A 13,376-nucleotide genomic window follows, 5' to 3' on the forward strand; every position below is an offset into this window, starting at 1 on the left:
TCCACCACTGTCAACAGACTCCAAGGGACCCTGGGGCCCTCCTGGGAGACAGTTTAGTACGTGGGTAAGAACTTAGACTTCTGAAGCCACACTAGCTGAGCTTACATCCCTATACTATCATATACCAGTGTGTGACCCTGGACAAATCATATACCCTCTCCCTGCCTCAGTTTCCATATCTGTAAAATGGAGCAAATATTACCTACTTCATAAGGTTGTGAAGATTAAATAAGTCAATATATGTAAAGTGTTTAGAATAGGGCCTGACATATCCTAGGTGCTATGTTATTTTAGCTCTTATTATTATTACCGCTTATTCCCTCCAGTTCAGCAAAGTAAACTGGATTGTTCAAAGGGCTATGCTGACTAGAGGGAACTTGACAGTGGGTTACACATAAACAGCTTGTACCATCAAGCACAAGAGCTTGATCTTATTGTCCTTTACCACCCTCTGCCTTCAGAGAGCTGCACTTGACCAGCCCCAAATTTTATAGGCCCTTTACCTCTGTTTCCTAAATCCCAGCTCAGGATGGCCCCAGCATGGCAAAGGGAACTGTTGGTCATTGCTACACCATCATGGCACAGCCAACCTGGTAACCTCTGCCCCTGCCTGCCTCATTTCCAGTCTTTCCAAGTCACTGACCCTTCCCTACCTTCCTATAGGTGGCAGCTTTGGCCCTCTGTCGAGATTGTGGTTATTTCTGAATACCCACAGGGGTCATTGCACGTGTACAAGTGGAACAACACGTGTTTTAGGGACCCTGTCTCCTATTTTTTTAACCTATCTTCTCCAATTTTTCAGGTATAGATTTGAAAGTGCTGAACAACACATAGTTATAAAGTTTCCGGGGAGAAAAATCACAATGCTTCCTTTCAACTTCAACATCATGCTTTTCCATGTGGAACCTTAGAAATCATGTGACATGGTCCACATTCCACATGACTGGCACCCACTCCGTTACAGGCTCAGGGGTTAATGGCATCCCCTGAAAGCATCCCCAAAGCAGTACCTTGCTCACCTCCTGCCTGACCAGAAAGAAAAGCACAAGAGAATCATTTTCCAGGAACACACACACACACAGAATCTGTGAATGAAAATCTCAAAATCTGTCGGCAAACTAGAAATGTCAAAGTAAGGCATGGCTTTGTGTCTCCTGGGGAACATTCTGAATCACCCTGGGGGAAACACTGTACTTCTATTGCTGATTAATAGTCAATCAAGACCTATGGGATGGAAAAGGACACGTAAGAAATAACAGCAACTGGCACCCACAGATAGGTAAATTGGTTTTCAAGCCCAGTGCCAGGTTGAGAGGCAGAGGCAGGTCTGAAGAAGAAGCTGTCAATGTCCCTCTTTTCTGGGAAGGTGCCGAAGCCATGGGCTTGTTTTGAAGTCATTAGTCAGGAAGCACTATGGATGTGGATGCCTCTCCTGCACTCACCTGAACCTCCCTGAACCTTCCCCTCCTGGAAAGGAACTATTCTGGACACCTGGGGAAACACCAAATTCAGACGGAGGAGCCATCTCTACTCTGGCAAGAGCAGCAGGTGCAAGGATTGGAATTCAGACATCCACGTGTAAACAAAAGGGAGTGCTCCTGGCGGGGGGGTGGGGGGTAAGCCTTCAGTTCAATTCGATTTTGCCAAGGTCTGCCATGCACTGGCCCCTGAGCCTGGTGGGCCTGCTAGGTTTACAGGGGAACCAAGCTCGGCCCTGCCCTTAAGAAGCTCACACACCTGGAAGAAAGCAGGGGGCGCGGGGAGGGGAGGAAGTGTGGACGTGAGCGCGCGCGCGCGCGCGTGTGTGTGTGTGTGTGCACACCCGGCACCAGTGCTCCTGGCGCCCGGAACTCCATTCCCTCCCATGACAGCTCATTGACCAGGTCGCCTCGGGAGAGCGCCCTGCAACCCCCACCCTCCCTTTGGACCCCCGCGCTGGTCTGGAGCGCACCCAACCAGCGTAACCTTACACTTCAGACCCAACCCAGGTCTGCTCAGCCCCGGCTGCTCCCAGGGCCTGAGAGTGGAGCTACAGTAGGGATCGGCCTTCACCCGGTCCCGGGCGGCTCCGCGGGGAAGGCGCAGCCCAGGGCGTGTTCTTCCAGTCTTGGGCGGAGTCATCACCACAGTGGACAGAGACTCCAGCGCTACTTCCCGGCGTTGACACCTGCTCCTGGAGAGGGTCCTGGACCCGCGGGCTGTGGTGGGGGTAGGGACTGCTATAGGTTCAAGCGGCTTTTCAACCACAGAGGGCTCCTTGCATTCCCTATCGCCTACCAACGGGATCACAGCAAGACTGGGGCTGGGGCTGATACAACGCAATTTTCCTAGCCTCGCTTGTCCGGCAGCCTGCGGGTCTTAACTGCCAATAGTCAGGGCCGCCGCGCGGGCATCTCGCCTGACGCCTACAGTGGCCAAAAAAGCTCGTTTGCCCGCGCGTTCCCTCTTGTACACACACAGACATTCACATGCACACACACTCTGAGCCGGACTTGTGTGCGATCCCGAGAGCCCGCGAGCAACCAGCCCAGAGTCACACGCACATTTGGACACGTGCGCAGCGCGCCCCCATACCGCCAGCTAGCTGCACACATCCGCTCGTGCAGCCCTGCGCACACACGTGTGCCCCGGGGAAGAGCGCACGGCCGCAGACAGAAGGTCCCGAACGCAGGCAGGAGCTCACACGCAGGCCCCACGACTACCACGCATCTGCGGCCCCAGAGCCCCGCCGTGGCTGAGTTGATGCGCACCAGCCCCAGCGCACCCCGCGCCGCGCGGGGCACTCCCGGGCCTCATGGGCGACCCAAGTTTCCGGGGCGCCCGTACCTTGAATGTGCTGCTTGATGACATTCTCCAGGTGGTCCAGCCGCTCAATAATCTTCAGAGTGTCCCCTTTGTCTTCCTCCAGCTTCTTGTCGGGCGCCGGCTCCTGCCCCCGCACATACACGCTGGCGATGTAGTTGGTGACCCAGCCCACGTAGAGCAGGCAGATGATGTTAGTCATGCCGCTCAGGATCACGCAAGTGGACACCAAAGTTTTGGTCTTCCTGGTGCACACCATTCTGGGCTCCTTCCTCCATATAGAGCTCCCGGGGGCCCTTCCTTGTCGTGCGCCCCGAACTCCCCCGCGCTCGCACCCCGTAGCACGTCCGGAGCCGCTGGGCACCTCAGCACCTGAGTCCCGAGGTTCTCCAAAGCCCGGTCCGCTGCCGGTGTAGCCGCCGTGCCCAAGTTTGCAGCTCCTGCCGCTGGCCACCCGGAGAGACCTTGACAAAGGAAACCAGGTGGATTTTTTTCCAAATTAAAAATCCCTGAACCCTTCCTAGAGGGGTCACGGGTAGCCGGCAGCCGCGCGTCCAGATGTGTACGTCTGGGAAACTTTGCCACTGCCTGTGTCGGCGGCCACGCCGCTTCCCATCGCCAGCGCCGGCTGCCTTGGCGGTCCGACCGGCCCGCGCTGCTAGGAGAACAGCGGCAGCGGCAGCGGCGGCGGGGAGAGCCGCGAAGCAGAGCGGCCCGGCCCCCTCCGAGCGACAAGCGCTGCCACCAATCGCGCTCCGGCTCGGGAGAGGGGCCGGTGCTGAGCGGCAGCGGACCAACGGGGAGGGAGCGGGGGGCGGAGTCCAGCTCCCAGGCCCCACCTGCTGGCCGCCCCTGGCTCCCGCCCCCAGGGACGCGCCCGGGCCTCCACCCGCGCCTGCACAGGCTGCCCCAGACCTGAAGCTCCCGGAGAGGGCGCGCTGCCAGTCCCAGCCCTTAGGTCGGCAGCTTCCTCCGTTAGGGGAATTCCATCTCTTGCTCTTGGGCAGGAATCTCCTGGTTTTGTGGAGGGGGTGGGGGGTTCGCACGGGTCAGCTTCTTTCATCCGCCCGGGGCTTCTCGCATTGGTGCCACCAGTCGACTCCTGGAATCTTTTCTTGGTTGCCAGGACGCTGAGAAGCCAAGGAAGTGCCAGCCCCAGCGGCATCCACTCCTTCCTTGGCCTCACTTGGGCCTCCACCCTGCCCTCTGCCCTTCAGCCACCGGCCTCCTGAGTGTGTCCAGACCTGGCCCTAAACCTGGCTGAAAGGAGCCAACCCTCCGGCAACCTCCCAGAAGCAACATTGGTGACCTATTAGATGACTCTCTCGACCACTTCTTCCCCCCCCCCACCCCCCACCCCCCACCCCCACCGCCTGCCCCAATTTTTGCCCCTATCTAGGTTTTTCTTTAAGTCTGTACAGCTCCCAGGACATGGATGTGTCCTTTAAGCCCAGTTTTCATTTATGTGGAACCAGGGTCATCCAGTGCATAAAGAAACCCTGCAAGGAAGTGCCGCTGAGGGGAACTGAGGTCTGTGAACTGTAAAGCCCTTCTACATGTTGTTTATGATTGCTATCATAGAGGGCGGTGGGAGAGACCTGTGACTGAGCACAGGAGGAGGCCAGACGCAGACAGTGATACTGCTGTGTTTGTTCTTACTGCCAATGTTTACTCATATTATCCTCTTCTGCTGAACACCCCGTTCTCAGCACCTGAACGGAATTCCTTTAAACAAAGACTTTTTACAACATAGATTTCCTGCCTCTTCTCCATCTCTGAGTTGCTTTATTTTTTTGGCCTAAGCCAGGGAGGCAGCCTGCTGCATGCCCACTTTGTTGTGTGCCAGCCTTCCAACCAGCCACAGAAATACTCAGGGCAGCTCCATCCTGGGATATCTTCTGGATTCAAATGACTGGCCCCACAAGAGAGGGAGAGCACAAAACCAAAGAAAGGGCACTTTATGGCCCCATCAGCCAAGGGCCCTTCTACCAATGCTTTGTTTACAAAACCTCCCCAAAGATGCTATGAAAACAGATACCAACTAGGGACCCGGGAAGATTTCCCTTGATCCATAGCTGGAAGAGAGAACAGTGGGTGTGGGTTGGCGTGGGCTGGGGTATAGAAGGGGGAGAAGAATCGTGTGTATGGTATGTAGGAGATACATACATGAGAGGAGAGAATGTACACAATTTCTGAAAAAATCAAGGTAGAGAAATCTGCCTCCAGGAGGGAGTAAAACTTGTCTCTCCCTTTTTTCTCTTCCAGAGGTATAATCCAGCTCACAAATAAAGGATCTGAACTTTCTTCTGGTTGGACAGACTTACAAGCAATGCCCTTGAGTACAGGCTAAGGTGTAATCTTTCCTTCTGTTCTGCCCCCTCTCCCAGGAGGAGCCCTGGAAGTTCAGCCCTTCTTGGGATCTTCCTAAACCACCACAGGACTAGAAAGAGAAGGCAATACTCATTCTTTTCACATTCTTAATGGAAAAAAATTAAATCCCAAGTTTAAAAAAATGAGGGTCAAGAAGAAAACAAAGTGAATTGTGTGATCTTAAATTTTGTACAGCTGATCCTCTAAGATAATGTGTAACTGTAGAGGGGATGAATACAACAAAAGAAGAATGCTGAACAGGTTCTCCTCTCTGAAAAGTCACAGGTTTGAGTTGACCTGTTCAAAGAATTTTCTCTGGAGGTGCAGGCAGACTCCAGGGTTCTAATCCCAGATCCACCATGTATTAGTTATGAGAGCCTGGACACATTTCAAAAAGTCAGTAGGGCTCAATTTCTCCCATGTATCAAATGTAGGTAGACAATACCTTACTGAGGACAGGCTGTGAAAATTAACTGAGAGAATGTTCCAGAAAGGGCTTTAATTAGTGCAGGACACATAGTGAGTGGTTAGGATCATGTGAGTTTCCTTCCAGATATGGTCACTCCCTTTCCAGGCCAGAGCTCAGCTCCGTGACCTCCATCCTGCTGTTTAGCAATACTTGGTTTCTCTACCTACCAGTATCAGCCCTCTCTCCCCTAATGGAAGCTAACAGGAACTAAAGCTATGAGCACCAAGGGGCTCATCTCATCGTCGCTAGCTGGGCTCCAGCACATTGGCTTTCTATTCATAATGTCTGTCTTCACCATCAGTAGTACAATGATCTGCATAGGTTGATAAAATATTCAAAATGAAAGGCTGGTTTCTTCAAGGTACTGGTCACCCCCAGTACCTTCAACTTTTCCACTCAAGACCCCTAATCCCTTGGTTGCAAACAAAGGAAGTGGGAGGGGGCATAAAGGCTTTGCTCACAAAGATTTTGCAGTCACAGGTCAGAAAAAAGTCTCTTTGCAAGCTCCCTCGTAAACAATACCTGGGTAGCAATTCATACCTTTAGTCCTGAATTCAGTTACCATACATCCAATCCTACAAGTAATGGTTGTGCTCCTGAGGTTTTGTGTAAATGACCAGTTGTCCTAGCCTCTGCCCATTTTGCTCCAGATAGGTAGATCCAGTCTGAGTTTCATTGTGTCAATACGGGCCTCTTTTCTGAGCTCAGGAAGCTGCTAAAAATCATCCTTGGATTGTAAGGATGTTTCTGATTCCCAAGTTCGGTCATTTATCTAACTCCTAAGTGTTTCCTCTCCTTTACTTTAAATAAATCCTGCCTCCTGCTGGGGATCATTGTGAGGAGTTAATCAGATAATAGGTGTAAGCAGGCCTAGCAGAGACTCCAGTACAACGTAGTTCTTCAAACTTATCCTGAGAGTTAGAATCTAGGGTCTCCTTTAACTCCTGCCACAAGAGGAGAGTGAGTGCCTTGAGGCATATACAATGGGGCTGAAGATTCTTGATAAAGCTTATCTACTACAGCCTCTGGATTTCACCCATCTTTTACATTGGGTAGGCAGCTCTTCTCTTGATGTGACTGAGGGCGAGCTGAATAGGACTTCCTACGCATAAGTACCACCACACTGTGACTCCCCCAACACTAAGCCTTCATTCAAAATACCTTTGATACTAGAGTTAGAGAAGGCCAGTCACTAATGGAATTCAGCCACCAACTGATTACATTCTGCATAGGGTACCCTGACCTGAGGTTTAAAGACGAACAGTGAACCAGTCTTGGCCAATGGCCATTCACTCTTCAGAGAGGGTTGTCAGTGGTCATCTGTACCTTCCAGATGGCAGCACCATGCAAAGCCTTGGGGCCAGAGTGTCAGGATTTGGGGGTGCTAAAGGATAAAAACAGGCCTGGATCATGGAAAGCCTCAATCCCTGTGCTGGCTGCATGGGAATTGGGGTTGCCAGGTTCCTAGGAGAACAGGGATTGTTGGCACTTCCAGCAAGGATGGATGTATGGTTCAGAGACAAAAGCTACAGAGGAAAAGTAGGGCCAAGATTGGATTTTGCCAAGCTACAGGTCTGAGATATCATTAACAAAAAAGGCACACTTCTTGGGGAGGGATGGTAAATGAAGAGAGAAACGTTTGTTTAGTGCCTACGTTGTACCAGGCCTAGTGTTTTTCATGTTCTCTCTTGAGCACAGATTACGGAGCCAGACAGCTGGGTTCATATCTCAGTTCTGCCGTTTATTAGCAGTATGATCTTGGGAAAATTCCTTAACCACACTGTGCCTCAGTTTATTCATCTGTACATGGAGATAATACTGATACTGCTTACCTCACGGAGAAGTTGTGAGAATTCAATGAATTAATGTGTACAAAGCACACTAAAGGCACTACATGTATTGGCTATTGTCATTATTGCTGTCTCTGAGCACCAGAGTATCTAACATGCAAATGAATGGAGGGAAGACAAGCCACCCAGAGGGCACTTTCCTCTAACTAGGGGCAAAGGGTCCTCTTGCTCCTCTTCTGTCACCCTATTTAAGGATCCAAAACAACTCCTAGCTGAGTTACAGGGCAAACCCTGGCCGGAATCCAGCAACAAGACCCATCTAACCCTCTGTCCATTGATTCATCCACTAAATATTTTCTGAGTGCCTGCTCTGTGCTAGACCCAAAGCTGGGTACTGGCAATACAGAGGTGACTCACAGACCCTCATCCCTGCCCTCAAAGAGATCACTGTTGAATGGATGAGGCCAAAAAATAAACAACCATAATACAGTAGGATAAGCTCTTTTCTGAGATATTCTATTAATATGAGAAAGAAGGCACAAAAAGTCAAGGGAGGTACCAAATTCCTCCCTAGCAAGTGGTTATGCAACTTCTGAACAGCTTCACTTCCATTCAGTCACTGGACAATGCTGCTGGGTAAAAATTTCTTCTTTAGACCCGGAGGAAAATATTTGCAAGATAGTTAACAGACCAAAGATTGAAAACCAAAATATATAAAGAATTCATATAAGCCACTAAAACAGAGGGGCAAGAATATCCAAATGGAAAAATGAGTCAAGAATATGAACAGACAAGTAGAGAATGTATAAATAACCAATGAACATATAAAAGAGTGAAAAAACTTGTTAAAAAATAAAAATACATTTTAAAACCATAGATATCACAGTTCACCTATCAAATTGAGAAAAACAAATTAATAGGGAAATTTCCAAGTGTTGGAGAAAACGTGGGAAATAAGTACTACTCCCATATTCTGTTGGTAATTGATACAATTGCTTCAGAATGTAATTTGGCAGTAACAGTGAAAATAAAAATGCACATTGCCCTGTGACCTTGTACTCATAGCATGGTCCATGGACCACTGGCATCAGCATCACTTGAGTGCTTATTAGAGAGTCAGTAGATCAGGCCCATCACACACCTACTGAGTCAGAATCTGCATTTTAACAAAATGTCCAGGTGATTTAAATATACATTATAATCTGAGAAGCGATACATATGCAATTGTTAACCATAGCCTTTCCTTGGAAAAAGAACCAGGATTAGAGGTAGTGACCAACTTCTGAACTTTTTATCATGTTTAACTGTAATTCTGAATTTTTACAACAAATATTTCTTAATGTAATGCTTTTGAAATTAGAATTTGTTTTTATTTCAAAAGCGATTCTTCTGGTTGTAGTGAAATCTGCTTTGCATTGCTTGCAATCCTGCTTTGTGACTTGAGCTAGTCTTGTACTATTTTAAGCCTGTTTCTTCACCTGCAAAATAGGGATAATAATCCACACCTAGCAAATAAACCAGTCCAGCCTTACACACCAATGGGCTTTGAGCACATCACACCAAGCACAACTCAACATTTGACATTCGTAATGACTATTCTCATTGGCAGGAAAATGGCCATTCTTTATGCTTTATGGCCATAGAGAAGAGAAAAATACTGTGGGAAGAAGATTTCACCAAAGGGAACAGATACACATGCACACATACACACACAACATACAAGATTCTTGAGCTACTTATGCTGCCCAGAGAAGTGTTTCCCATTGAAACATAAAATAAATCATCAAGGTATATAACCCTGTAGTGAGAACAGGGATGTTATCAGCCACCACTTTATTCCTCACTCGGAGCCATTGTTTGGTTTCATGTATTTGTACATAACTTTTTTTCTTTTCTAGACAGGATTTCAATCTGTTGCCCAGGCTGGAGTGCAATGGTGCCATCATATCTCACTGCAGCCTGAAAGCAATCCTCCCGCCTCACCCCCACAAGTAGCTGGGACTACAGGCACACACCACCATGCCCTGCTAATCTTTTAAAATCTTCTGTAGAGGTGAAGTCTTGCTATATTGCCCAGACTGGTCATGAACTCCTGGATTCAAGTGATCCTCCCACCTCGGCCTCCCAAAGTACTGGGATGACAGGCATGAGCCACCATGCCTGGCCTTACATAGTATTTTTATAGGGTTGTCTGCTTATTCAGATGCAGTGAAACATTTTATAAGAGTTTGGCTTCCTTCTCTTTAAAAGGATGTTGTGTAGGAGATAAGACATGTTGAGGAGGAAAGCAGTAGAGTCCTCAGGTTGCACACATGTAACCAAAAAGACTTGGGTTCAAATTCTGGATCTGCTATTTACTGATTCTGTGAGTCTGGGCAAGTTAGTTAAGTTCTTGGATCTCAATTTCCTCATTTGTACAGTGTAGCGTCTTCCTTATAGGGTTGTTGTGACGATTATGAAATGAAATTTGTAGAGCTTGGCACTAAGTTGTGGTAAGCATTCAACAAATGTTAGTTTTAATAGGACTTAACATATAGCATTTTTTTATTCTCAATCCACAATTATATATATTATAGAGCATATATATGTGGCCTAGGGGTTACATATGTATTTTTAAATGTTTTATTACTTAAAGGATTATCAGTTTCCTATACAATAGAAACTGGGCATGCCGGTACACAGGCAATCCATGAAGCACTGTTCACACGTCTTGATTTTCAAAATAACCTTACAAGGTAAATTAGTAATATGCCCAATTGATAGATGAGCAAACTGTATCTAGTGGCAAAGCATTGATGAATAAAAAGAATAGAGCACTCCTAAGTCCAGTACTCTTTCTATTTACCGCCTCCCTCCTGAGTAGCTGTTAAGGGACATCTATCTTCAATGAGGGAATTAAAATGCAAAAAGGGAGAGGCCTCTTGGAATTATTTGCACCTGCAAAGGAGATTGTTAAAAACAGAAGCACTTTCAAGCCCTAATTAGCTATTGTCCTCCGAACAAGGAAAAGTGCTATTAAATTCCTCCCTTTCAAAAGAGAGAATCTGGTTGGTGAAGTAGGGGCAAAGGAATGGCGATTTCTTTAGCCCCTACTGATGGCAGAAATAGTCACAGATTTCCTCAGACTCATGGAAGGTGCTTCCCTAAAAACTCGTATGTGAGTTTCAGGAAGGCACGAGAAGGAGCTGGATGCTGAAATGCCCCTCTTCTTAGGAAAACACCTGGTGACCACCTTGATGCCTGGGTAAAAAGGGCAGAAAGCTCCCTCCACTGCCTTACATCTCCCATTCCTAGAGCCTCAAATAAATAGCAAGGACCCTGTGTGAGGGACTGCGGGTGCCTGCCAGGCATGGGGAGAAGCAAGTGACCTTTTCAGGGTTAGTATACACTGGTCCAGGACATTATTGGCCCATAAGTATGTTCTCCGCGCATCACGACCAGCCAGATGGTAAATAAAATATTCAGCAGACACACAAACCTCTCACAATAGTGAGGTGACTGGCTTGTTCAGAACAGAGTGATTTCTGTAGAAAGCACAAATTGCAAGTGGCAAGAAGCAGCTGGGAGATGGTCGACAATCTGCTTCTTCTGACAGAGCCAGAGACCAAAGCTTGGGACAGCTTGCATTTGCAGCGGGCCCAGAGCCCATCCTCAGAGAGCAGTGGAATTTGTCATCAAAGGACTTGTATAAACTTAGTTTCAAGACAAACGGCAGATGCACAAAAGTACAAAGCACTCAAATGATTCCAGATAAAACAGCTTCAGCAGGTGCCAATGAATAGGCTGATGTCGCACGATGTATTTCCAGAGACCAATATAATCACCCTCCTAACATGGCCCAAACCCACTGTGTCTAGGTATTTGCTAATAATTCTCCACTGTGCATAGGCTCTCTTATCTAGGCATCTGCAAGCATGATGAGAGAGGTGACAGACTTCAGAATAGAGCGTTTAAGACTCCATGTCCCCAAGTAGTTTGACAGACATGCCAAATCCTCGCCATCCCACCCTAACTTCATTGCAGGGTCTCCAGCAACTACTAAATAGGTTGATCCAGCATTTTAAGGTTGTGCTCAATGAAACTTACCATAAGCCTTAGTAACATTCTTATTTGTGATGTGTATTCTAAAACCAAAATACAATACAGATTCATTTATTTCCTAATACATTTTCAAAACATTTCTCACTTCCCACTCACTCTTCAACCATAATAATCCTCTCCAAAATAGCTCTCAATAATGTTGCCAATTACCACAATGTAGTTGAATCCAATGATATTTCTCAGTCCTCACGTTATGTAACCTTCCAGCAGCTTTGAACATTAACTTTCTCTCCTTTCTCAAAACTTTCAATTATTTTACCTTCTAGGACAGTATGCTCTCCTGGATCCTTCCTCTTGCCTCTTCCCACTACCAACCTATACTCTTCTACCTGGCCAATCAGAATTGAAGCTCAAGATTCCATCCAACTCTCTCTCCTCTTCTTAATCTGCTCTCCCCAGGCCTAGCCAATTTCATCTATATCCAAACCATCAATTACTCTGTATAAACAGATGATTCCAATCAGGTTTCTCCTCCAAAGTCCAGACCAGTATATCCAATTGCCTGCTACTATCCCTCCTCATATGACTCAAAAGCATCTCAAAATCAAAATAGCAAAACCAAAGTCATTCCTTTCCTTCCTACCCCTCCAAATCTGATCCTTTTTCAATGTTCCAGTCTCGATAAATGACAACATCTCCCTTCAGTTGTGCAAACCAGAAGTCCAGAAGTTATTCTTGACAGTTCCTTCTCCTTTGTGCCTCATTTCCAATCCATGACCAGGCTGTACTGGTTTTAACTACTAATTACATCACAAATATATCCACATCTCTACTACAACCTGCCTTCATCTCTCACCTGACTACTAAGTGGAAAACAACCTTAGTCTATTGACTCTTGGAGGGCAGAGATGGATCCCTGAGTTTTACTCACAATAAAAACCTCAGAGCCTACTATAGTACCATATAATTATTTAATAAATTAATGAATAACATACTTAAGAATTGGGAGACGAAGGCAAGAGGATCACTTGAGGCCTGAAGCTGGAGAACATTCTTGGCAACACAGTGAGACCCTATCTCTACACAAAAGTTTTAAAAACTAGAGGACGTGGAGGCATGTAGCTACTCGGGAGGGTGAAGTGGGAGGATCCCTTGTGCCCAGGAGTTCAAGGCTGCAGTGAGCTATGATCGTACCACCACACTCCAGCCTGGGTAGAAGAATGAAATCCTTTCTCTAAAAAATAATAATGATGATTTATTTTACTTAAATTACATATTATCTAATAATGTCAGAGAACAATAAATTCTACATATAAGAAGAATTTCCAGATAATTTAAACTCAATTTCTTTTTCTGCTCCTTTTTATTTCAGTTTGGACAACAATCTTCCTTGAATATACTTTAAAAAAAAAAAAAAGATAAAATCAAACTGTCAGCTGGGCGCAGTAGCTTACACCTGTAATCCCAGCACTTTGGGAGGCCGAGGTGGGCGGATCACCTGAGGTCAGGAGTTCGAGACCAGCCTGGCCAAAATGGTGAAACCCCCATCTCTACTAAAAATACAAAAATTAGCTGGGCGTGGTGGCAGGAGCCTGTAATCCCAGCTACTCGGGAGGCTGAGGCAGGAGAATTGCTTGAACTCAGGAGGCGAAGGTTGCAGTGAGCCGAGATCGCACCATTGCACTCCAGCCTGGGGGACAAGAGCGAGACTTCATCTCAAAAAAAAAAAAAAAAATCAAACTGTCATTATGATTAGATGATATTTAGAGAACTCCAAATAAGTGTCAATTTATTATAATTGACAAGATAGTTTAACAAATTGCTGGTTATATTATTAATCATATATGAAAAATCAATTGCTTTTACACTCCAACAAACAATTTGAAAACAATTAAAAAATATAT

The 13,376-nt window shown here is 46.7% G+C and overlaps 1 protein-coding gene across 6 annotated transcripts in view, besides 9 other annotated features; it reads right to left on the bottom strand.

Annotated features, from left to right (window-relative positions):
- The window catches only part of GALNT18 (polypeptide N-acetylgalactosaminyltransferase 18), a 351,129-nt gene extending 347,656 nt beyond the window's left edge, over positions 1-3,473 (bottom strand). For all 6 annotated transcript variants that reach the window (NM_001363464.2, NM_198516.3, XM_011520071.4 and 3 more), the window contains exon 1: positions 2,827-3,473. In NM_001363464.2, the coding sequence (NP_001350393.1) occupies positions 2,827-3,061 (235 nt within the window). In that variant the 5' untranslated portion in view covers positions 3,062-3,473. The remainder of the gene's footprint in view (positions 1-2,826) is intronic.
- Positions 1,354-2,323: an enhancer, noted in NCBI's record as "H3K4me1 hESC enhancer chr11:11641433-11642402 (GRCh37/hg19 assembly coordinates)". NCBI's record gives its function as "activates a minimal SCP1, AML or CMV promoter by ChIP-STARR-seq in naive H9 embryonic stem cells {active_cell/tissue: H9 hESC(naive)}" and the evidence as "EXISTENCE:reporter gene assay evidence [ECO:0000049][PMID:30033119]".
- Positions 1,776-1,915: an enhancer, noted in NCBI's record as "active region_4455". NCBI's record gives its function as "activates an Ori minimal core promoter by ATAC-STARR-seq in GM12878 lymphoblastoid cells {active_cell/tissue: GM12878}" and the evidence as "EXISTENCE:reporter gene assay evidence [ECO:0000049][PMID:35858748]".
- Positions 1,986-2,215: an enhancer, noted in NCBI's record as "active region_4456". NCBI's record gives its function as "activates an Ori minimal core promoter by ATAC-STARR-seq in GM12878 lymphoblastoid cells {active_cell/tissue: GM12878}" and the evidence as "EXISTENCE:reporter gene assay evidence [ECO:0000049][PMID:35858748]".
- Positions 2,496-2,565: a silencer, noted in NCBI's record as "silent region_3157". NCBI's record gives its function as "represses an Ori minimal core promoter by ATAC-STARR-seq in GM12878 lymphoblastoid cells {active_cell/tissue: GM12878}" and the evidence as "EXISTENCE:reporter gene assay evidence [ECO:0000049][PMID:35858748]".
- Positions 2,586-2,665: a silencer, noted in NCBI's record as "silent region_3158". NCBI's record gives its function as "represses an Ori minimal core promoter by ATAC-STARR-seq in GM12878 lymphoblastoid cells {active_cell/tissue: GM12878}" and the evidence as "EXISTENCE:reporter gene assay evidence [ECO:0000049][PMID:35858748]".
- Positions 2,956-3,005: an enhancer, noted in NCBI's record as "active region_4457". NCBI's record gives its function as "activates an Ori minimal core promoter by ATAC-STARR-seq in GM12878 lymphoblastoid cells {active_cell/tissue: GM12878}" and the evidence as "EXISTENCE:reporter gene assay evidence [ECO:0000049][PMID:35858748]".
- Positions 3,216-3,295: an enhancer, noted in NCBI's record as "active region_4458". NCBI's record gives its function as "activates an Ori minimal core promoter by ATAC-STARR-seq in GM12878 lymphoblastoid cells {active_cell/tissue: GM12878}" and the evidence as "EXISTENCE:reporter gene assay evidence [ECO:0000049][PMID:35858748]".
- Positions 3,413-3,913: an enhancer, noted in NCBI's record as "H3K4me1 hESC enhancer chr11:11643492-11643992 (GRCh37/hg19 assembly coordinates)". NCBI's record gives its function as "activates a minimal SCP1, AML or CMV promoter by ChIP-STARR-seq in primed H9 embryonic stem cells {active_cell/tissue: H9 hESC(primed)}" and the evidence as "EXISTENCE:reporter gene assay evidence [ECO:0000049][PMID:30033119]".
- Positions 3,416-3,775: a silencer, noted in NCBI's record as "silent region_3159". NCBI's record gives its function as "represses an Ori minimal core promoter by ATAC-STARR-seq in GM12878 lymphoblastoid cells {active_cell/tissue: GM12878}" and the evidence as "EXISTENCE:reporter gene assay evidence [ECO:0000049][PMID:35858748]".

This window comes from Homo sapiens, chromosome 11 (assembly GCF_000001405.40).
Source record: "Homo sapiens chromosome 11, GRCh38.p14 Primary Assembly".
In the NCBI taxonomy this organism is placed as follows: Eukaryota; Metazoa; Chordata; class Mammalia; order Primates; family Hominidae; genus Homo; species Homo sapiens.